The sequence below is a fragment of the Homo sapiens genome, chromosome 11, assembly GCF_000001405.40.
Source record: "Homo sapiens chromosome 11, GRCh38.p14 Primary Assembly".
NCBI lineage: Eukaryota > Metazoa > Chordata > Mammalia > Primates > Hominidae > Homo > Homo sapiens.
The window spans coordinates 63,228,443-63,252,171 of NC_000011.10; the positions used below are offsets into that span (position 1 = coordinate 63,228,443).

General features: G+C 40.4%; 1 protein-coding gene, 1 long non-coding RNA gene and 1 pseudogene across 6 annotated transcripts in view; 1 reads left to right on the plus strand and 2 right to left on the minus strand.

Moving 5' to 3' along the window:
- SLC22A25 (solute carrier family 22 member 25) overlaps positions 1 to 15,157 on the minus strand; it is an 85,163-nt gene extending 70,006 nt beyond the window's left edge. For 2 of the 5 annotated variants that reach the window (NM_199352.6, NM_001394058.1), the window contains exons 1-5: positions 14,992 to 15,157; positions 10,275 to 10,693; positions 9,439 to 9,570; positions 809 to 1,654; positions 19 to 122 (exon numbers count right to left, since the gene is read on the minus strand). In NM_199352.6, the coding sequence (NP_955384.3) occupies positions 19 to 122; positions 809 to 1,210 (506 nt within the window). In that variant the 5' untranslated portion in view covers positions 1,211 to 1,654; positions 9,439 to 9,570; positions 10,275 to 10,693; positions 14,992 to 15,157. Of the gene's footprint in view, positions 1 to 18; positions 123 to 808; positions 1,655 to 8,897; positions 9,571 to 10,274; positions 10,694 to 14,991 lie in introns of all 5 variants that reach the window. The other 3 variants (XM_047426917.1, XM_017017695.2, NM_001394059.1) reach the window with 2 other exon arrangements.
- CCND2P1 (cyclin D2 pseudogene 1) lies at positions 14,443 to 15,795 on the plus strand (annotated as a pseudogene).
- A 1,457-nt stretch (positions 15,796 to 17,252) lies between these two features.
- On the minus strand, positions 17,253 to 22,762 carry LOC105369334 (uncharacterized). The gene is made up of 3 exons (XR_950178.3): positions 22,553 to 22,762; positions 22,187 to 22,314; positions 17,253 to 18,801 (listed from the first exon to the last, which is right to left on the minus strand). It is a non-coding gene; the product is annotated as an uncharacterized LOC105369334 (long non-coding RNA).
- Between the last annotated feature and the right edge of the window lie 967 nt (positions 22,763 to 23,729).

The window sequence follows — 23,729 nt, forward strand, 5'->3', positions numbered from 1 at the left end:
TGCTCCATAGACACTCACCTGTCTGACAAATGGCCATATAGGTTGCCTCCCACCATCATTCCAGCCATGAATAGAAATTTAGCTACTGAATTCAGTGGTTGAGATTCGCATACCAGATCCCACTGGAAGAAAAGGAAACCCTCATATCAATGCTTATAGCCCCTCAGTGTAACCTTATCAAAATGTCTTAAAATAGCCTGCAAGTTTCATTCTATCTTCCTCCCTAGCTTCCCTTTTCTGCATTACCTGATATTCACTGTTCAGGTCTCAACTTAAGCACAACTTTCTCTTGGAAGCTATTCCTAAACTTTTAGATATTATTAGTGCCCAGTTTTATTCCATACTAAATGGTTCTCAACCTTGGCCACACAGTGAAATCATTTGAGAACCTTTAAATATTTTTGGTTGCCTAAATTTCACCCCTAGACTTTCTCATATGATTGTTGTAAGATATAGTCTGGACTTGGAGGTTTTCAGTGATTTCCCAGAGGTTTATAATTTTCAACCACAGGCTGAGCATTCTTTACTTAGCAGAACATTTTTTAACACATTATTCATAAATGCTTGCTTAAATTTTGGTTTTACTAAGGATAAAAGCACTATGATAGCAGGGTCACATCTACTTTTGAATTCATTAGACTCATTAAATGTGCAGGTATCTGGCATTCAGTAGAGAAGCAATTAATGTTTCCTGAAAGAATGAAGAATAAGCACCTACATGTGACTAAAGGCTGGAAGCACAATCATTTCTTGTGTTATTCTAAACAGCCAGGTCATGTACACAAGAGAGGAAAATGAGGCCTCTTACCTTAGTCACAATGGTGGAAGGGAAGGAGCTTTGGTCATATACCCAGCCATCCACACAGGGCTCTGTATCTGGCTCACTCGTGTTGGGGAAGGTCCCATTCAGATGAATGAGCTTCCACTGGGGATGGACAAAGCGACGACACTTCTCTGGCCTCAGATTTGAGTCGAATGGGATGGAGATTCTCAGGAGGGCATCCTGGCTGAGGGTCCCAGGGTCATTGTCAGGGATAGTGTCATTGTCCAGTATATGAACCCAGCAGCGATGATCAAGTATGAATGCTGCGAAGTTCTCCAGCTGAGTTTGATGGTATACTATGACGTTGAACATTATAAGGAAAACCATCTGAAGGATCTGGAATCTCCCCAGGCCTCCAACTTGATCTAGGAGGTCCTGAAAGGCCATTGAGGCTGGACAAGTGATCCCCAAGAGGAGACAAAATGACTGTATCCAGATAAGTTCAAAGAGAAAATATTTCCTTTCCTTAAATCACACTAAGTGTGTGTGTTGATCCTGACCCCACTCTCTTCTTAATGGGCCCTCTCTCCCATCTGCAGCAGGGTCACGGAAGCAATTTCCTCAAGTAGTTTTGGGGTCAGGTAGGTATCTGTTTTCTTTAGGGTCACATAAGAAATAATTGGCTCAGATACTTCCAACCATTTTCAATGAAATGTGTTTAAACATTAGACATCTACTTATTGATGTCTTTAGTAGCTCCCCAATAGCAGCATTGAACTTTGGTCTGCACATTTTTTTGTAAACAAACTAAAATAAATCTGCTACTTGGTATGCAGTCTTTCCAGAACGTGTAATCTGTGGGACTCAAAGGCAAAGTGCTTTTTCTTTTCTCTGTGAAAAGAACAGAAAGCAAATGTCTTTCTTGTTAAGTACCAATTTTTGATTAAGGATTAATAAACACAATCTGAGTTGAATTAAAATGAGTAATATGGTGCAAACCTTCCATTTTGTTGACTGATGTTCTGCTTCATGCCAAAGCATACCACAAACTCACACTGGAAGTAAATTACTTCAAATGTGGGGAGAGTGGGTAGTGATAAGAACCAGAGTAGTAAGCCAGTGCTAAGCTCATATGGAGGTTTACTTTTACTGGCTTATTGATTCTTTCAGATATTATTTGTGGGGACATTTTCTGTGTCAGTATCTTGAATAATGTGTACAACCAGGTTCAAAAATCTTGCAGTTCAGTGAGTAAGATAGAGTACATAAACAATTGTAATCTGATATTGTAAATATTATGTGAGACGCACAATGTGCTATGGAAGAATTGCAGACAAAATATAGGAGAAAATTGCACCTTGATTAGGACTAAAATTCTTTAAAATGTATACCTCATTGAGGTATAATTCATTTACCATACAGTTCACCCTTTTAAAAAAAATTTATTTATTTATTTTTATTATACTTTAAGATCTAGGGTACATGTGCACAACGTGCAGATTTGTTACATATGTATACGTGTGCCATGTTGGTGCGCTGCACCCATTAACAAGTCATTTACATTAGGTATATCTCCTAATGCTATCCCTCCCCCATCCCCTAACCCCAAGACAGGCCCCGGTGCATGATGTTCCCCTTCCTGTGTCCAAATGTTCTCATTGTTCAATTCCCACCTATGAGTGAGAACATGCGGTGTTTGGTTTTTTGTCCTTGAGATAGTTGGTTGAGAAGGATGGTTTCCAGCTTCATCCATGTCTCTACAAAGGACATGAACTCATCATTTTTTATGGCTGTATAGTATTCCATGGTGTATATGTGGCACATTTTCTTAATCTAGTCTATCATTGGTGGACATTTGGGTTGGTTCCAAGTCTTTGCTATCGTGAATAGTGCCACAATAAACATACATGTGCATGTGTCTTTATAGCAGCATGATTTATAATCCTTTGGGTATATACTCAGTAATGGGATGGCTGGGTCAAATGGTATTTCTAGTTCTGGATCCTTGAGGAGTCACCACACTGTGTTCCACAATGGTTGAACTAGTTTACAGTCCCACCAACAGTGTAAAAGTGTTCCTATTTTTCCACATCCTCTCCAGCACCTGTTGTTTCCTGACTTTTTAATGATGGCCATTCTAACTGGTGTGAGATGGTATCTCATTGTGGGTTTGATTTGCATTTCTCTGATGGCCAGTGGTGATGAGCATTTTTTCATGTGTCTTTTGACTGCATAAATGTCTTCTTTTGAGAAGCATCTGTTCATATACTTTGCCCACTTTTTGATGGGGTTCTTTTTTTCTTGTAAATTTGTTGGAGTTCATTGTAGATTCTGGATATTAGCCCTTTGTCAGATGAGTAGATTGCAAAATTTTGCTCCCATTCTGTAGGTTGCCTGTTCACTCTGATGGTAGTTTCTTTTGCTGTGCACAAGCTCTCTCATTTAATTGGACCCCATTTGTCAATTTTGGCATTTGTTGTTTTAGACATGAAGTCCTTGCCCATGCCTATGTCCTGAATGGTATTGCCTAGTTTTTCTTCTAGGGTTTTTATGGTTTTAGGTCAAAGATTTAAGTCTTTAATCCATCTTGAATTAATTTTTGTGTAAGGTATAAGGAAGGGATCCAGTTTCAGCTTTCTACATATGGCTAGCCAGTTTTCCCAGCACCATTTATTAAATAGGGAATCCTTTCCCCATTTCTTGTTTTTGTCAGGTTTGTCAAAGATCGGATAGTTGTAGATATGTGGCATTATTTCTGAGGGCTCTGTTCTGTTCCGTTGGTCTATATCTCTGTTTTGGTACCAGTACCATGCTGTTTTGGTTACTGTAGCCTTGTAGTATAGTTTGAAGTCAGGTAGCGTGATGCTTCCAGCTTTGTTCTTTTGGCTTAGGATTGACTTGGCAATGCGGGCTCTTTTTTGGTTCCATATGAACTTTAAAGTAGTTTTTTCCAATTGTGTGAAGAAAGTCATTGGTAGCTTGATGGGGATGGCATTGAATCTATAAAAGACCTTGGGCAGTATGGCCATTTTCACGATATTGATTCTTCCTACCCGTGAGCATGGAATGTTCTTCCATTTGTTTGTATCCTCTTTTATTTGATTGAGCAGTGGTTTGTTGTTCTCCTTGAAGAGGTCCTTCACATCCCTTTTAAGTTGGATTCCTAGGTATTTTATTCTCTTTGAAGCAATTGTGAATGGGAATTCACACATGATTCGGCTCTCTGTTTGTCTGCTATTGGTGTATAAGAATGCTTGTGATTTTTGCACATTGATTTTGTATCCTGATACTTTGCTGAAATTGGTTATCAGCTTAAGGAGATTTTGGGCTGAGACGATGGGGTTTTCTAGATATACAATCATGTCATCTGCAAAGAGGGACAATTTGACTTCCTCTTTTCCTAATTGAATTCCCTTTATTCCCTTCTCCTGCCTGATTGCCCTGGCCAGAACTTCCAACACTATGTTGAATAGGAGTGGTGAGAGAGGGCACCCCTGTAGTGTGCCAGTTTTCAAAGGGTATGCTTCCAGTTTTTGCCCATTCAGTGTGTTATTCACTGTGGGTTTGTCATAAATAGCTCTTATTATTTTGAGATTCGTCCTATCAATACCTAATTTATTGAGAGTTTTTAGCATGAAGTGTTGTTGCATTTTGTCAAAGGCCTTTTCTGCATCTATTGAGATAATCATGTGGTTTTTGTCTTTGGTTCTGTTTTTATGCTGGATTACTTTTATTGATTTGCATATGTTGAGCCAGCCTTGCATCCCAGGGATGAAGCCCACTTGATCATGGTGGATAAGCTTTTTGATGTGCTGCTGGATTCGGTTTGCCAGTATTTTATTGAGGATTTTTGCATCAATGTTCATCAAGGATATTGGTCTAAAATTCTCTTTTTCTGTTGTGTCTCTGCCTGGCTTTGGTATCAGGATGATGCTGGCCTCATAAAATGAGTTAGGGAGGATTCCCTCTTTTTCTATTGATTGTAGTACTTTAAGAAGGAATGGTACCAGCTCCTCCTTTTACCTCTGGTAGAATTCGGCTGTGAACCCATCTGGTCCTGGACTTATTTTGGTTGGTAAGCTATAAATTATTGCCTCAATTTCAGAGCCTGTTATTCAGGCTATTCAGAGATTCAACTTCTTCCTGGTTTAGTCTTGGGCGGGTGTATGTGTCAAGGAATTTATCCATGTCTTCTAGATTTTCTAGTTTATTTGCGTAGAGGTGTTTATAGTATTGTCTGATGGTAGTTTCTATTTCTGTGGAATTGGTGGTGATATCCCCTTTGTCATTTTTTATTGCATCTACTTGATTTTTCTCTCTTTTGTTCTTTATTAGTCCTGCTAGCAGTCTATCAATTTTGTTGATCTTTTCAAAAAACCAGCTCCTGGATTCATTGATTTTTTGAAGGGTTTTTTGTGTCTCTATCTCCTTCAGTTCTGCTCTGATCTTAGTTATTTCTTGCCTTCTGCTAGGTTTTGAATGTGTTTGCTCTTGCTTCTCTAGTTCTTTTAATTGTGATGTTAGGGTGTCAATTTTAGATCTTTCCTGCTTTCTCTTGTAGGCATTTAGTGCTATAAATTTCCCTCTACACACTGCTTTGAATGTGTCCCAGAGATTCTGGTATGTTGTGTCTTTGTTCTCATTGGTTTCAAAGAACATCTTTATTTCTGCCTTCATTTCGTTATGTACCCAGTAGTCATTCAGGAGCAGGTTTTTCAGTTTCCATGTAGTTGAGCAGTTTTGAGTGAGTTTCTTAATCCTGAGTTCTAGTTTGATTGCACTGTGGCCTGAGAGACAGTTTGTTATAATTTCTGTTCTTTTACATTTGCTGAGGAGAGCTTTACTTCCAACTATGTGGTCAACTTTTGGAATAGGAGTGGTGTGGTGCTGAAAAGAATGTATATTCTGTTGATTTGGGGTGGAGAGTTCTGTAGATGTCTATTAGGTCCGCTTGGTGCAGAGCTGAGTTTAGTTCCTGGATATCCTTGTTAACTTTCTGTCTCATTGATCTGTCTAATGTTGACAGTGGGGTGTTAAAGTCTCCCATTATTATTGTGTGGGAGTCTAAGTCTCTTTGTATGTCTCTAAGGACTAGCTTTATGAATCTGGGTGCTCCTGTATTGGGCACATATATATTTAGGATAGTTAGCTCTTCTTGTTGAATTGATCCCTTTACCATTATGTAATGGCCTTCTTTGTCCCTTTTGATCTTTGTTGGTTTAAAGTCTGTTTTATCAGAGACTAGGATTGCAACCCCTGCCTTTTTTTGTTTTCCATTTGCTTGGTAGATCTTCGTCCATCCCTTTATTTTGAGCCTATGTGTGTCTCTGCAAGTGACATGGGTTTCCTGAATACAGCACACTGATGGGTCTTGACTCTTTATCCAATTTGCCAGTCTGTGCCTTTCAATTGGAGCATTTAGCCCATTTACATTTAAGGTTAGTATTGTTATGTGTGAATTTGATCCTGTCATTATGATGTTAGCTGGTTATTTTGCTTGTTAGTTGATGCAGTTTGTTCCTAGCCTTGATGGTCTTTACAATTTGGCATGTTGTTGCAGTGGCTGGTACCGGTTGTTCCTTTCCATGTTTAGTGCTTCCTTCAGGAGCTCTTTTAGGGCATGCCTGGTGGTGACAAACTCTCTCAGCATTTGCTTGTGTGTAAATTATTTCATTTCTCCTTCACTAATGAAGCTTAGTTTGGCTGGATATGAAATTCTGGGTTGAAAATTCTTTTCTTGAAGAATGTCGAATATTGGCCCCCCCTCTCTTCTGGCTTGTAGAGTTTCTGCTGAGAGATCAGCTGTTAGTCTAATGGGCTTCCCTGTGGGTAACCTGACCTTTCTCTCTGGCTGCCCTTAACATTTTTTCCTTCATTTCTTCGTTTCAACTTTGGTGAATCTGATAATTATGTGTCTTGGAGTTGCTCTTCTTGAGGAGTATCTTTGTGGCATTCTCTGTATTTCCTGAGTTTGAATGTTGGCCTGCCTTGCTAGATTGGGGAAGTTCTCCTGGATAATTTCCTGCAGAGTGTTTTCCAACTTGGTTCCATTCTCCCCGTCACTTTCAGGTACACCAGTTAGACGTAGATTTGTTCTTTTCACATAGTCCCATATTTCTTGGAGGCTTTGTTCATTTGTTTTTATTCTTTTTTTCTCTAAACTTCTCTTCACGCTACATTTCATTCATTTGATCTTCCATCACTCATACCCTTTCTTCCAGTTGATCGCATTGTTTACTGAGACTTGTGCATTTGTCACGTAGTTCTTGTGCCATTGTTTTCGGCTTCATCAGGTCCTTTAAGGACTTCTCTGCATTGGTTATTCTAGTTATCCATTCATCTAATTTTTTTCAAAGTTTTTAACTTCTTTGCCATTGGTTTAAACTTCCTCCTTTAGCTCAGAGTAGTTTGATCTTCTGAAGACTTCCTCTCTCAAGTCATTGAAGTCATTCTCTGTCCAGCTTTGTTCTGTTGCTGGTGAGGAGCTGCGTTCCTTTAGAGAGGAGAGGTGCTCTGATTTTTAGAGTTTCCGGTTTTTCTGCTCTGTTTTTTCCCCATCTTTGTGGTTTTATCTACTTTTGGTCTTTGATGATGGTGACGTACAGATGGGTTTTTGGTGTGGATGTCCTTTCTGTTTGTTAGTTTTCCTTCTAACAGTCAAGACCCTCAGCTGCAGGTCTGTGGGAGTTTACTGGAGCTCTACCCCAGAGCCTGTTTGCCTGGGTATCAGCAGCGGTGGCTGCAGAACAGCAGATATTGGTGAACTGCAAATGCTGCTGCCTGATCATTCCTCTGGGAGTTTTGTCTCAGAGGAGTACCCAGCTGTGTGAGGTGTCAGTCCACCCCTAATGGGGGGTGCCTCCCAGTTAGGCTACTTGGTGTTCAGGGACCCACTTGAGGAGGCAGTCTGCCTGTTCTCAGATCTCAAGCTGCGTGCTGGGAGAACCACTACTCTCTTCAAAGCTGTCAGACAGGGACATTTAAGTCTGCAGAGGTTACTGCTGTCTTTTGTTTGTCTGTGCCCTGCCCCCAGAGGTGGAGCCTACAGAAGCAGGCAGGCCTCCTTGAGATGTGGTGGGCTCCACCCAGTTCGAGCTTCCCGGCAGCTTTGTTTACCTACTCAAGCCTGAGCAATGGCAGGCACCCCTCCCCCAGCCTTGCTGCCACCTTGCAGTTTGATCTCAGACTGCTGTGCTAGCAATGAGTGAGGCTCTATGGGCATAGGAACCTCCAAGCCATGTGTGGGATATAATCTCCTGGTGTGCCGTTTGTGAAGCCCATTGGAAAAGCATAGTATTAGGGTGGGAGTGACCCAATTTTCCAGGTGCCGTCTGTCACCCCTTTCTTTGACTAGGAAAGGGAATTCGCTGACCCCTTGTGCTTCCTGGGTGAGGTGATGCCTCACCCTGCTTTGGCTCATGCACGGTGTGCTGCACCCACTGTCCTGCACCCACTGTCCCGCACCCACTGTCTGGCACTCCCCAGTGAGATGAACCCAGTACCTCAGTTGGAAATGCAGAAATCACCCATCTTCTGCATCGCTGACCCTGGGAGCTGTAGACTGGAGCTGTTTCTATTTGGCCATCTTGGCTCCACCCCCTTCTTCTTTTTATTAACTATATGCATCTCTGTTTCTTCACACTTAGCTTACCTAATGCTTTCATCTTCTAACTATCTACCGGTTCCCCTGTCTGGGCTGTGGCTCCCTTGTATCCAGCATAGAACACTGTTCTCCATATCTTCATTTTCAAACAGGCTGAATTCCATGTCATGAAATATCTGTCTTTCAGTTCTCATAGGTAACTTCTATGGTTTCAATGTCTGTTCCTAAACTCATGTTGAAATTTAATTGCTATTGTGATTGTATTAAGAGGTGGTGCAGGAACAGAAAACCAAATATTGCATGTTCTTACTTGTAAGTCGGAGCTAAACATTGAGCACACATGGACATAAACATGGGAACAATAGACACTGTGGACTACTAGAGGGAGGAAGGAGGGAGGAAAGGTATAGGTTGAAAAAACCCCACTGTTGGGTACTGTGCTCACTGCCTGGGTATAATATACCCATAACAAACCTGCACATATACCCTCTGTATATAAAATATAAGTTGAAATAAAAAAAGAGACGAGACCTTTAAGAGGTGAATAGGTTCATGTGGATATCGCGGAGGTGGGTTATTGCAGGAGGGGATCCTGATGATAGGATGAAATCCAGCCCCCATTCTCTGTCTTGTGACCTTGCTTGCCCTTCCACCTTCTGCTGTGAGATGATACAGCACAAAGTTACTCATCAGATGCTGATGCCAAACTCTTGGACTTCCAAGCCTCCATAAACATGAACCAAATAAACTTCTATTGTGAATAAATTACCTATCCTGTGACCTTCTGTTATAGCAGCAGAACATGGACTAAGACAGTAACTGTTCTCATATTTCTAAATCACATGTTGTGGCACCAGATTTCCAAACCCTGACCTGTCAGGCTTAATGGAGATGTCATTTCTGTGTCTTGTACACAACACTCAGTGCTGACAGGATAGCCCTCACCACACAGATTGTAGTACTCCATTTGTGTTTCTAGATCCCTGAAGACCAAGGTAGCCCCAGGACAGTGTGATTTGCAATAAATATTTCTCAATGAATAAATATTTAATCAGTGGATGGAAATACTCACTAGTATAGTGATCTTTGAACAGAGATGCTCATCTGTCTGATAAATGGCCATATTGGATGCCTTTCACCACCACTCCATGAATAAGAATGTAGCCACTAAATTCAGTGACTGAGATCCACATACCAGGTCCCACTAGAAGAAATAAAAACCAGCATCGTAGAGTTTTATAGCAACTTAAAACGCCTCAGAGGAACCTGATCAAAACTCCTGAACATGACCTGAATGTTTCATTACAGCAGGCCTCTATCTTCCTCTGTAGCCTCCCTTTTCTTTACTATTTGACCTTTATCATTCAGGTCTCAGCTTCAACAACTTTCTCTAGGAAGCTGCCTCTAAAACTGTAGGTTATATTAACAACCACTTTTGCTCCATACTAAGTGTGGTTCTCAAATTTTGCCATAGAGTGCAATCATTTGTGAACCTTAAAAAATTTAATGATTCGTGATTATCACTGCAGACCTTCTCCTATGACCACTCTGGGTGTACAGTCTGGGCATGGGGGTTTTGATCAACCTCCCAGTATTTTTAATTGCAACCACAGGCTGAGCCTTACTGATTCGGCATACAATTTATAACAAAATACATGAAATACTTGCCTAAACTTTGGTCTTCCCAAGAATGAAAGCACTATGATAGCAGTGTACATGTCTACTTTTGAAATCACTAGACTTATAAAATGCATAGGGGTCTGGTATTTAACAGAGAAGCAATTAATATTTGCTGAAAGAATGAAGAATAAGCACCTACATGTGACAAAATGCTGGTAGCATGTTAATTACTTGTGTTATTTGTAAACACTGTAGTTGTGTATGTAGGAGGAAATTGGGGCCTCTTACCCAGTCACGATGGTGGAGAGGAAGGAGCTTCTGTTGTACACCCTGCTGTCCACACACGGTTCCATGTCTGGTTCATTCATATTGAGGAATGTCCCATTCAGGTGAAGGAGCTGCCACTGGGGATGGATGAAGTGACAACGTTTCTGTGGCCTCAGGTTTGAGTCCAGTGAGATAGAGATTCTCAGGAGGGCATCTTGGCTGAGGATCACAGTTTCTTCGTCCAAGACGATGACATTGTCTATGATGTGCACCTAGCAGTGGTGACCAGGATGAATGCAGTGAAATTCTCCATACAACACGAGGGCAAACTATAAAGGTGGAGATGATAAGAAAAACCATCTGAAGGATCTGAAATCTCCCCAAGCCACCAACTTGATCCAAGAAGTCCTGAAATACCATTGAGGCTGAAGAGATTATCCCTAAAAGGAGGCAAAATGACTGTATTCAGATAAGTTCAAAGAGAAAAAATGTTTCCTTTCCTGAAGTCCCATTGAGTGTATGTTGATCCACTTTCTTTTAATAGGCCCTGCATCACATTTGCAGCAGGACCATGGAAGGTTACACATCTTATTATCATTTGGGGATTAGATAGCAATTTTTATTAAAGTCAAAGAAAAATATTTTGCTTGGATACTCCAACAGTTGTCAATGAAATCTGTTTAAAGTTCTACTTTGTGAAAATTTATGTTATCAGCAGCACCTCACAAAAGCATCAACCTTTGATCTCCACATTTTCTGTAAATACAGTAAAATAAACATGCTATATTGTTAGCAGTCTTTTCCAGAATGTGTAATTTGTGACAATCAAAAGGGATGCACTTTTAGAAATCTTCCTGTGAAAGTACTGAAAGTAAGTGCTTTTCTTGTTCAGTATTGAATTTGGGCTTAAAGAGTTAGTGTGAGCTAATTAGAGCAATTTAAACATGGTACAGTCCTTCCCCTTTAACAGCTCTCTGCTTCAGGTGAAATCACAGCAGAAACTCATTTCAAACATAAGTTTTTCAGAAAGGGCAGAGTCAGGGTAGTGAAGGAGGGCAGAGTAAGCCATGGCAAGCTCATTTTTCTAGGCTTGTTGATTTATTCACACTGCATTTGTGAGAAACTTTTCGGGGCTCGTTCCAGGGATACAATAAGTGCAAGATAAGGTCTTCAAGGTTCTTATAGTGAGTAAGGGATAGGTACTTAAATATTCACACTCTGATATAAAATGTTCACAGTCATGCATCTCAAAACAACAGGAATATGCTCTGAGAAATGCATTATTATGTGATTTTGTTGTGTGAACATCATGGAGTGTACTTACGCAAACCTATATGGTGTAGTCTAATGCACACCTAGGCTATATGGTATAGCCTATTGCTCATATCCTGCAAACCTGTACAGTATGTTACTTCACTGAATACTGTAGGCAATTATAATACATTGGTGCTTGTGTACCTAAACGTATCTAAACATAGAAAAGTTAGAGTAAAAATAAAAGATAAAAGATAAAAAAATTACACTTTATAGGGTTTTGCCAAGCATGGATCTTGCAGTACTGGAAGTTGCTCTGGGTGAGTCAGTGTGTGAGTGGTGAGTGAATGTGAAGGCACTTTTGGGGATCTGGAAGTTAGTCATTTTCATTAGAGTCAAAGAAAAATGTTTTTGTTGTGTTAATTCCAACAGATTATAATGAAATCTGTTTCAAGTTTAAATCATAAGATATACCTTATAAACACTGTACACTTGGGCTGCACTAAATATATAAACAAACATTTTCCTTTCTTCAATAATAAATTAACCTAGGCTTACTGTAATTTTGTAACTTTATAAACTTTTTAGTTTTTAAAAAACTTTTGACTCTTTTGTAATAACACTTAAAATATAAACATGTTGCACAGCTGTACAAGAATTTTTTTATATCCTTGTTCATTCTATAAGCTTTTCTATTAAGTTTATTTTTTGCTTTTTAAATTTTTTTGTTAAAAATAAAGACCAAACTCTCACATTGGCCTAAGCCTACACAAGGTCATAATCATTAATATCACCATTTTCCATCTTCACATCTTGTCTCACTAGAAGGTCTTCTGGAGCAGTAACATGCATGGGGTTGTCATCTCCTGTGAGAGCAAGGCCTGTCTGTGTAAATGGTACTCCCATCCAACCTGTTATGCAACTAGTAAATTAGCACTTTATCCTTTGACTATTTACTTTTACTCATTCCAAACAAGCCAGCACAAATCTAGTCAATTCTACTAACTTACACAATGAGACCATAAAAAAAAATTTGTAGCATTGACTGACTTGATATGGCTTTAGCTCAAAATGCAGAAACAACATTCATGCTATCTTGTCATGTTTAACTGCAGGCACATGAAAATATTAGTATTTGTCTTGGTTGGGAAAGAAATTCTGAGGCAGAAATGTGTGTGCAAGGGGTTTACTAAGGCATGCTCTTATGTAAGTGCATGATGAAATATGATTGATTGGAGCTAATTGTTGAACCATAATATAGTTGCAAAACAGGCCTGAAGCCATTCCATGGGGAGATGTGAACCTGGAATGGCCCTTCAGAAAAGTCTGGAATTGAGCCACAGAAGGAACCCTGTTTGCTTGCATTGGAGAGGCTAATGACAGAGCCTGGTGGACTTCAACTCTGTCATTATGGATATTTGATTGGTTAGTGCTTCTCTCCTTCTTCCACGGTGTTCCATGTAATAGAAAGACCTTCACACCTCATGCCCACTCCACAGGTGCATCCCCATGCCTCTTTCCCAGACCTCTTTCCTTCCTATTATCCAATCTTTCTGTTTATAGGTCCAGTCCATCAAACAAAGTCATCTGGAGCTCCTAGTCTCTGTATTCTTACCTCAGGATTATCTTATTTATACACAAAGTAGATAATCAGTTGTATTACTTGAAGCTCAATGCATTGAGAGGGTTAACAGTCATCAGTGACTATCAAGGCCCCCAGAGGGAAGCATTACTTCACTAAGTTTTACTTTTCCCATATACCAAGTCATTCTATATCTGAACCTAGAAAGGCTATTTTCTTCTGTCATCTGATCACAACAGACACCCAAGCACCTGAGGGTATGCACTGAGGTGAGGCACAACATTGGTGGGCAACAGGGTCTCTGAACCACCAGACTGTGCAGCTTAAATGGCCTTTTGTTAAGTACTGACAATAAACTGAGATTGTAGCCCAGACAAAAAGCTCTCTAAAGATGGTTAAGGATATTACATTCAAACTCTGTCAAACAGAAATGAGGTTTCTAAGAATCTTAATGTCATTACCTCTCAGCAGAATATCATAGTCCATCTATATGAATGGAGATATTTTGGGTGTGGCTTTTGTCTAATGGAGCAGATTCCAGTAAGAGTCACAAGAGACCAAGAAAAAGTTTAATAGAATTACATGGGCAGAAACACTGCTAGTTGGGACAGAAACTAACAGAGAATGTACAAAATGAAATGGTGCTATTTACCTCCCCCTCCACCCCTGGATTCTACTTTCAGAGAGCAGGTGGAAAAAACCACACACCGAAAACCACATACTAACTTTAATATAAAAGGAAGGATGTCTCTTAGGCAGAACCCAGAGACCAGATGTCAGAACCAACAACTGTATAGAATAACTCATTGGCAGGAGTAGGATAGCGTCTTTATCAAGGGGCACTCGATATTTGCCCAGCTGGATTTCAGAACTGCTATACAGCAATAACACTTGCATGACTCCTGTTTTCCCATCTAAGAATAGTGTCATATTTAGTAGACTTGTTTAATATCGTTGCTTCCTTGGCATGCCTTTTTAGGTCTGACATAAGTTATTTGAAACTCAGCTATACCCCATCACTTCAGCCTAGTTAAAACTTCCTCTTCCTGTGTGATTGTGATATAGCCAGCTGGAGGGTGGGTCTGCCTCTCCCAGTCCACTGACTCAAATGTTAATCTCCTTTGGCAACACCCTCACAGACACACCCAGGTACAATACTTTGTGCATCCTTCAATCTGATCAAGTTGACACTCAATATTAACCCTCATAGACTGTGATCCCTATGTTGCTGCCTTCCCTCGTTTCTATTGCTCTTTGGCCCCAACCCAAATAAGGTTCCTTGGGACACACTAAAGAAGGAGGTGGAGTTCGAAGGGGAGGAGAGATGTGAGCGAGGCAGGCAGGGAAGCTCTGCTCGCCCACTGCCCAATCCTCACCTCTCTTCTCCTCCACCTTCTGTCTCTGCCCTCACCTCTCCTCTGAAAACCCCCTATTGAGCCAAAGGAAGGAGATGAGGGGAATGCTTTTGCCTTCCCCCTCCAAAACAAAAACAAAAACAAACACACTTTTCCAGTCCAGAGAAAGCAGGGGAGTGAGGGGTCACAGAGCTGGCCATGCAGCTGCTGGGCTGTGAGGTAGACCCGGTCCTCAGAGCCACGAGGGACTGCAACCTACTCCAAGTTGACCGTGTCCTGAAGAACCTGCTTGCTATCAAGAAGCGCTACCTTCAGTAATGCTCCTACTTCAAGTGTGTGCAGAAGGCCATCCAGCCGTACATGCACAGGATGGTGGCCACTTCTGATGGTGGCCATTTGATTGGTGGCCACTTCTGATGGTGGCCAACATGATTGAACCATTTGGGATGGAAAAGCACCTTTACTCTCAGCCACCTGTTAACTAATGCTGGAGGTCTGTGAGGAACAGAAGTGTGAAGAAAAGGTTTTCCCTCTGGCCACGATTTACCTGGACTGTTTCTTCGCCAGGATCCCAACTTCAAAGTCCCATCTGCAACTCCTGGGTGCTGTCTGCATGTTCCTGGCCTCCAGGCTCAAAGAGTCCAGCCCACTGACTGCCAAAAAGCTGTGCATTTATACCGACAACTCCATCAAGCCTCAGGAGCTGCTGGAGTGGGAACTGGTGGTGTTGGGAAAGTTGAAGTGGAACCTGGCAGCTGTCACGCCTCATGACTTCATTTAGTACATCTTGCACAAGCTGCCCCAGCAGCGGGAGAAGCTGTCTCCAATCTGCAAGCAAGTCCAGAACTTCAATGCTCTGTATGCAATGTACCCGCCATCAATGGTTGCAACTGGAAGTGTAGGAGCAGCTATCTGTGGACTTCAGCAACATGAGGAAGTGAGCTCACTCCCTTGCAATGCCCTGACTGAGCTGCTGGCAAAGATCACCAACACAGATGTGGATTGTCTCAAAAGCCAACCGGGAGCATATTGAGGTGGTCTTCCTCAACAGCCTGCAGCAGTGCCATCAGGACCAGCAGGACAGATCCAAGTCAGAGGATGAACTGGGCCAAGCCAGCACCCCTATAGACCTGTGAGATATCGACCTGTGAGGATGGCAGTCCAGCTGAGAGGCGCATTCATAATCTGCTGTCTCCTTCTTTCTGGTTATGTTTTGTTCTTTGTATCTTAGGGCGAAACTTAAAAAAAAAAACCTCTGCCCCCACATAGTTCGTGTTTAAAGATCTTTTAGAAGTGACAGAAAATAGTCCTATAAAAACAGAATAAGAAAAAGCCTTTGGTGCTTATTTGAAGTACAGCATAAGGGAATCCCTCGTATATTCGAACAGTTATTGTTTGATTATGTAAAAGTAATGGTAAAATGCTTGCAGGAAAACCTGCAGGGTAGTTAGAGAATATGTATGTCTGCAATATGGAAACAAATTAGAGGAGACTTTTTTTTTTCATGTTGTGAGCTAGCACATACACCCCCTTGTAGTATAATTTCAAGGAACTGTGTATGCCATTTATGGCATGATTAGATTATAAAGCAATGAACTCAAGAAGGAATTGGAAATAAGGAAGGACTTGATGGGGAAGGAGTACAAAACAATCTCTCAACATGATTGAACCATTTGGGACGGAGAAGCACCTTTACTCTCAGCCACCTGTTACTAAGTCAGAAGTGTGGTTGGATCTCTATGTTGGGTACTCTTGCTGTCTACATTAGCTGCTACCTAAATAAGATGTTTTATTTTGCCAGTTGGACACAGGTGATTGGCTTCTGGATTTCTTGTCCTGTGACATCTTGCTTCTTCCAAATGCAGTTCATTGCGGACACCACAGTATTGCTATCTAATGGGGGAAATGTAGCTATGGGCTGTAACCAAAACTCACATGAAATGGAGGCAGATGGAGACCTGGGGTGGCATCCAGAATGGAATCTTTTCTCTTATTGTATTAAAAAGGGTAACGTGACCTTGGCATTCCTTCTTAGGAAAAACTAATTTTTGGTGCTGATTGGCATGTCTGCTCCACAGGTTAGCATTGTTCTAAACCATTCCATTCGAAAAGCACTTTGAAAAATTTTTCCCTAGCAATAGATGGCATGGTTTATGCAAGTCATGCTGAATACTCCTCCCCTCTTCTCTCTTGCCCCCTCCCTCCCTGCCTCCATCTGGGTTACTCTTCACCTCTGGTATCTGACATTCTTGGGTACACATTTCTGGTGTTCCTACCAGGACACAAGAGACACCTCTTTCTGCTGACATCCCCATCACAACATTCCTCAGAAAAGCCTAAAAACAAAGATCTGTTACCATTCTGATGACACAGAGGATCTTCATTTTATTTCTTTAAATACCTAATTTTACATCTTTATACTTCTTTGGACATGGAAAGTAAAGTTATTGCGGGTGCAAAGACAGATGGCTGAACATCAGGGGGTGGCATTTTGTTTCCTTTTCCTTTTTTGTTTTTGGTAATTTTATTGCAAAGTTGTATTCAGTGTACATGAATTTTTTTTCCTCTTCTGTTCTTTTTTCTTTTTTATTGTTATTTTTTTATTTATTTATTTTATTATACTTTAAGTTTTAGGGTACATGTGCACAACATGCAGGTTTGTTACATATGTATACATGTGCCATGTTGGTGTGCTGCACCCATTAACTCGTCATTTAACATTAGGTAGATCTCCTAATGCTATCCCTCCCCCCTCCCCCCACCCCACAACTGGCCCCAGTGTGTGATGTTCCCCTTCCTGTGTCCATGTGTTCTCATTGTTCAATTCCCACCTATGCGAGAGAACATGCGGTGTTTGGTTTTTTGTCCTTGCGATAGAGGCATTCAGTTAGTAAAGAGGTTGGAGCAACAACTCTTTTTTTTTTTTTTTCACAATTGTAATCGAACAGGTAATGAAGCCATTTGTTAAAATATTTGCCTTTTTAAGTAAAAAAGAAAAATCAGAATGGGGCTACTTTGAAGAATTATTTTATACACAGATTATTTCTTGTTTCAGAGTGCGAAGGTTGAAGATGGAAAAAAATTTAAGAGTCTCTTATTTTTCATTTTGTTTTATTCATGTGTTTCACGGAGTGTACTGCTATTTTGTAAACATTTTTATAGTATATTATTTTATTGCTTAAACTCCAAGTCCTGAAATAGATGGTTGAGATAAGAGTTCTTCATATTGGAAAAACCCTTCTGTAGTTTGTCTTCTTCTGGTTGCATATTCATGGTTGTTGTTTTTTCTTTTCTCTTTTTCCTCTGATCACATTCATCAGAGACAGAGTGTTCTTTACCTCGGGTTTACTGGACAAAATCAACAACTATAAAAGACAATGATTCACACTTTTGTTTTCACAATAACTCACAACCATACAGTTTCTGCTTGGGAGTCTATTAGTGTGAGGAACAGAGAAGCAGGGTGAACAGGGCTAAACTCCTTCTCAGGTGGAAGGCAGGGTGGTCTCAATCCCAGGGACCTTTTTGGTCATGAAGGCCACTGGGCTCCCATTTTGACTCTGGTATGCTCATTATGATGGAAAAAGTACACTGAACCAAGGGATCCTTCCTCCCCTACAAGGAAGATGTTCAGTACAGACATTTATGCAGCAGACTAGGACGTCATAATTTGCACTTGGGTACCAGGTATCAGGAAACAGACTAAAAGGAATTCCAGCAGGCTATATGTGGATCCTCATCTTGTAGCTTTTTCAAAAGCAGGGCATCCTCTGCATTGGGCCCTTTCATCTTGAAACATTTTCCTCCATCTTCCCCCTTCTCTGGAATGGACACTGAGTTGAGGGTCTTCTCTACAGTTTTCCTAGGTCTGAATCTGTGAGTAGATGAATCTGCAGCATGCAGTATTTGCGGTGCTTCCTTCTCCCTCCTCTGTCTCCAACTGCACAGGCAAGCACTATGTAAGCCCAGATTCTCTGCTAAGTGGTTTTCAGGTTTTCAATCACACTGAATTGGCAGGACAAGAAAAATTGTTCAGAGAAGTATGGGAAGATAGTTGAAGGGAGATGAAGAGGCTGCTTCTCTATAGAGATGAGATTCCAGATAAGTCAGTCTCTTGGGAAGTGTGTTTAGAAGGGTTCAAGACTTTGTGAGTAAGCATGACCTTAAAATTCTAGGGGATTTCTGGTAGGACAGTGAGTGGTGAATTCTGAAGTTTTGGAGAGGAAAGTGGAGGAGCCAGCAAGCTAGCTAGCCAGTTTTCTAAAAGCCAACTTTGCACAGCACACTCTTCTGGGCCCTAAGGAGTCCCACAGAATGGGGAAAGTGGGAGCCCTGGAGTTCTTGGGAGTCTTGGAGCCTAAAGAGAAAACGAGGTGCAAATTCATTTCACAGTGACTGACCCTTGAGCTTAAACAGAATCAGCAAATGAAAGAATCTGACAAATAAGGAAAGGCACAAGCCTGCCCGACTACTGGACAATAAACTCATGACCTAAAAAAAAAAAAAAAGAAGGAGGTGGCTGTCAGTAAATGGGGCTGAAGAGAACCACTAATGAAAGCCAAGGCTCACAAGGGAGGCCACTCACAGCCACCAGAAGCTTGTCACATAAACATTGAGAGAGCGAGGGAACACATTCTTTTTAGGCTGGGTGCAGTGGCTCCTGCCTGTAATCCCAAGCACTTTAGGAGGCCGAGGTGGGTGGATCACCTGAGGTCGGGAGTTTGAGACCAGCCTGACCAACATGGTGAAACCCTGTCTCTACTAAAAATACAAAAACTAGCCAGGTGTGGTGGCACATGCCTGTAATCCCAAGTACTTGTGAGGCTGAGGCATGAGAATTGCTTGAACCTGGGAGGCGGAGTTTGCAGTGAGCCAAGATCATGCCATTGCACTCCAGCCTGGGCAACAGAGTAAAATAAATTCTGTCTCAAAAAAAAAAAAAAACTTTTTAGCGCCTAGTTATTCTAAATATTTACTTAAAAGAAAAAGCAAGGTCCCTATGTGGGAGGGAGGTAATGATTATCTTGCAGTCTGGGGTGATTCAAGAGAGAGACTACTGCTTAGATGGACCAGCACCCTGTCTCTCTCTCTTTTTTTAAATCAGAAATTAAAACTAAGAGCCACGACTTCAGAAGACTAAAAGTCTAAAAACAAAAACAACAAACAAAACTACAGCACAAAAGGAAAAAGCTGTAGGTGGCTACGAATCTGAAAAATAAGTAAAAGAACTTTAAACTTAAGTCCTGAGTAAACACCAGGTCTACCAAACATGATATTAGCCCTATATTACTTACTGATTTAGAAACAAGCCCCTAGATACAGGGGGGAAATAAAAGCTAATTAAATAAATTACATATACATACATAATACAATAAATAGATAAATGAAGTATATGTGTATATTTTATATAATAAGTTAAAACAAACTTCCATAATTTGACTCAATTAGAAATCCAAAATTTATATACTAAATTTCTATACTAAAGGACTTATATAACAAAATGATTTAAAAAAGACACTGATTGGCTTTTGTGCCTCTATAACATAGACTTTAACTTAACTTTAACATTTGTTAAAATGCATCAATTGGCAGAACTTCACAAGCTTAATCAACCCTGGGACTCAAATTACAATGATACACCAGGATTCCACTAAATTTAAACACTCTGCTCCTATAATCTTGAGAAGATACTTAAATATATATAAAGAAAAATGAGTTTGCCTCACTTTAGCAGTGGGGAAAGGATTCCATATTCAAAAAATGTTGCTGGCAGAATTGGCTAGCCATATGCAGAAGACTGAAACTGGACCCTTTCCTTACACCATATACAAAAATTAACTCAAGATGGATTAAAGACTTAGGTGTAAAACTCAAAACTGTAAAAACCCTGGAAGAAAACCTAGGAAATACCACTCAAGAAGTAGGCATGGGCAAAGATTTCATGATGATGCCAAAAGCAATTTAAACAAGACAAAAATTGACAAATGGAATCAAATTATACTAAAGAGCTGCTGCACAGCAACACAAACTATCAACAGAGTAAACAGGCTGGGAGAAAAATTATGCAAAGTATGCATCTGACAAAGGTCTAATATCCAGCCTCTACAAGGAACTTAACAAGTTTACAAGAAACAAATAAATAACCCCATAGAAAAGTGGGCAAAGGACATGAACAGACACTTTTGAAAAGAAGCCATAGCTGCAGCCAACAATCATATGAAAAAGAGCCCCACATTACTGGTTGTTAGAGAAATGCAAACCAAAACCACAATGAGATACCATCTCACGCCAGTCAGAACAGCTATTATTAAAAAGTAAAAACAAACAAACATGCTGGTGAGGTTGTGGAGAAAAACGAATGCTCATACTCTATCGGTGGGAGTGTAAATTAGTTCAGCCAGTGTGAAAGACAGTGTGGCAATTCCTCAAAGATCTAAAGAAAGAAATACCATTCAACCCAGCAATCCCATTACTGGGTATATACCCAAAGGAATATAAATCATTCAATTAAAAAGACACATGCACGTGTATGTTCATTGCAGCACTATTCACAATAGCAAAGACATGGAATCAACCTAAATGTTCACTAATGGTGGGCTGGATAAAGAAAATGTGGTACATATACACCATGGAATACTAAGCAGCCATAAAAAAGAATGAGATTATGTCCTTTTGAGGGACATGGATGGAGCTGGAGGCCATTATCCTTAGCATAATAACACAGGAAAAGAAAACCAAATGCTGCATGTTCTCACTTATAAATGGGAGCTAAATGATGGAACACATGGATGTGTAGAGGGGAATTACACACACTGGGGCCTTTTGGAGGATGGAGGGCCAAAGGTGGAAGAGAATCAAGAAAAAAAACTAATGAGTACTAGGCTTAATACCTAGGTGATGAAATAATCTGTCCGATATAGTCCCATGATACAAGTTTATCTATGTAACAAACCAGCACTTGTACCCCCGAACTTAAAAGTTAGAAAAAACCTGTATCCTTGTTTAAATTTCTCATAGTCATAGAATCCACTGCCTTAAAATATTCCATATTCAACATAAATACTCTAACATAATAAATAATAAATTTAGCCTTTGACATAAATTGGCTTGATAAAAGGGGACCCCTTCAATCCCCAGTTAAAATAGTTAATCTGACCCAATGTAAATTAATACAGGGCCTCAAGGATTCAAATTTATTATATAAAAGCTAATTAATAAAAGACTGATTTTCTCCTCTGCTTCTCCATTTGGCAGCCCAATTTTGCCTGTTCTTAAATCTGAAAACATAAAATAAAAGATATCTCACTATGGATTAACGCAGGCTTAATGTCATGATCCTATCCATCAAGGCTTTCATATTTAATGTCCAATTTCATTAAACTGACTGCTTCTATTTAAGCAATAACCAGTAAATATTTGCTCTTATTGATTGCCTTTCATGTACTGTTCAGTTCCTATTTCAACATCCTCTCAGGTCAAAGTTTGCCTTGACCTCTAAAGGGACACCTTTTCCAGGATACCCATGGGGTATCTCCATAACTTTGTCATTCCATGCAATCTTTGCAGACAAGATTTTGAGGATATTCACCTTTCTCCAGGAACACAGGTGTGACATTACTTTGAGTACATCCTCCTCCAAGGAGACTCATGTGACACACTCCTTAAAGACATAGAAGTCTAGTATCTCTTAGCACTTTTTGGGTTCTGATGGTAACACATCCTCATTTACAAAATTTACTTACAAATTAAAATCAGCAGGCACTTCTGTGAGTGAAGTCAGAAACATCTTCACTGTAAAGGCTTTGACAACTTCTTCATACATCTTCTGGAGTTTCTAAACCACTTATGATGGTCATCAATTGCCTCACAGCTTCCGATGAAACAAAAAACAAAATAAAATAAACAAAGAACTGCCCCTCTTGGCCTGCATCACTCACTATTAAAACAACAAATGATTGACTATCTGCTGGGACCTCCTGGAAGCAGAGGCTCTCACAGATCCTGAACCTGTGCTTCTCCATACCCAGCTCCAGTTATGGTTTGGGAAACAGCACCCCACAAACTTGGCAAGGCTACCGAGGGCTCCCTAAGACAGTACGAAGCCAAACCTGGGTCTCTGGTACATTCCACCTGTGGGAGACGGTGGCCTTCTGTCCTCAGTGTTTTGCCAGGTGCTAGTGTACTGGAGGAGGTCATCCATTCCGCTATATTAGTCTATTTTTCATATGCTATGAAGAAATACCCCAGACTGGTTAATTTATAAAGAAAAAGAGGCTCAATGGACTCACAGTTTCACATGGCTGGGAGGCCTCACAATCACAGCAGAAGGTGAAGGAGGAGCAAAGGCATGTCTTACATCACGGCAGGCAAGAGAGTGTGTGCAGGGGAACTGCCCTTTATAAAACTATCAGATATCATGGGACTTATTCACTATCATGAAAACAGCATGAAAAAACATGACCCCATGATTCAATTACACCTTGCTGGGTCCCTGCTGTGACACATGGGATTATGGGAGCTACAATTCGAGATGAGATTCGGGTGACACAGTTAAACCATATCACCCCTAGACCCTTTGACTGCCTGGAAATGTTCATGGGATTAACTGAGTAAATAGTAATGGGAGTTTGTAGACTGTGTAAATGGCACTGTAAGCATCTTGCATCATGGAACTTTGTGCAATGTGACTGTTTTCCACTCCTCAGCCAGGGTGTCCTTAATAAAGAATGACACCCCAAAACAACAAATTTGGCCAAATTTTAGGCAGTTGTTTCAGCACCAGTTGCCCTGGTGAACAAATGATCCTATTTTCACATTAATTATCAACTAATGAGCCATTACCTAAAAATTATATTCTTCAGAATTAAAAAACTCTCTAGGAATCTCTTGCCTCATAGATACTCAAACAGCGATCGAGCTGATAATCAAATCAAGAACTTAACCCTTTTTCCAATATCTGCAAAACTAAAAGCAAAACTTAGGTATACACCTAACCAAGGAGGTAAAAGACCTGTACAAGGAAAATTACAAAACACTGATGAAAGAAATCATAGATGACACAAACAAATGGAAACACATCCCATGCTCATGGGTGGGTAGAATCATATTGTGAAAATGACCGTACTGCCAAAAGCAATCTACAAATTCAATATGGTTCCCATCAAAATGCCACCAACATTCTTCACAGAACTAGAAAAAAAATCCTAAAATTAACATGGAACCAAAAAAGAGCCCACATAGCCAAAGGCAGACTAAGGAAAAAGAACTAATCTGGAGGCATCCCAT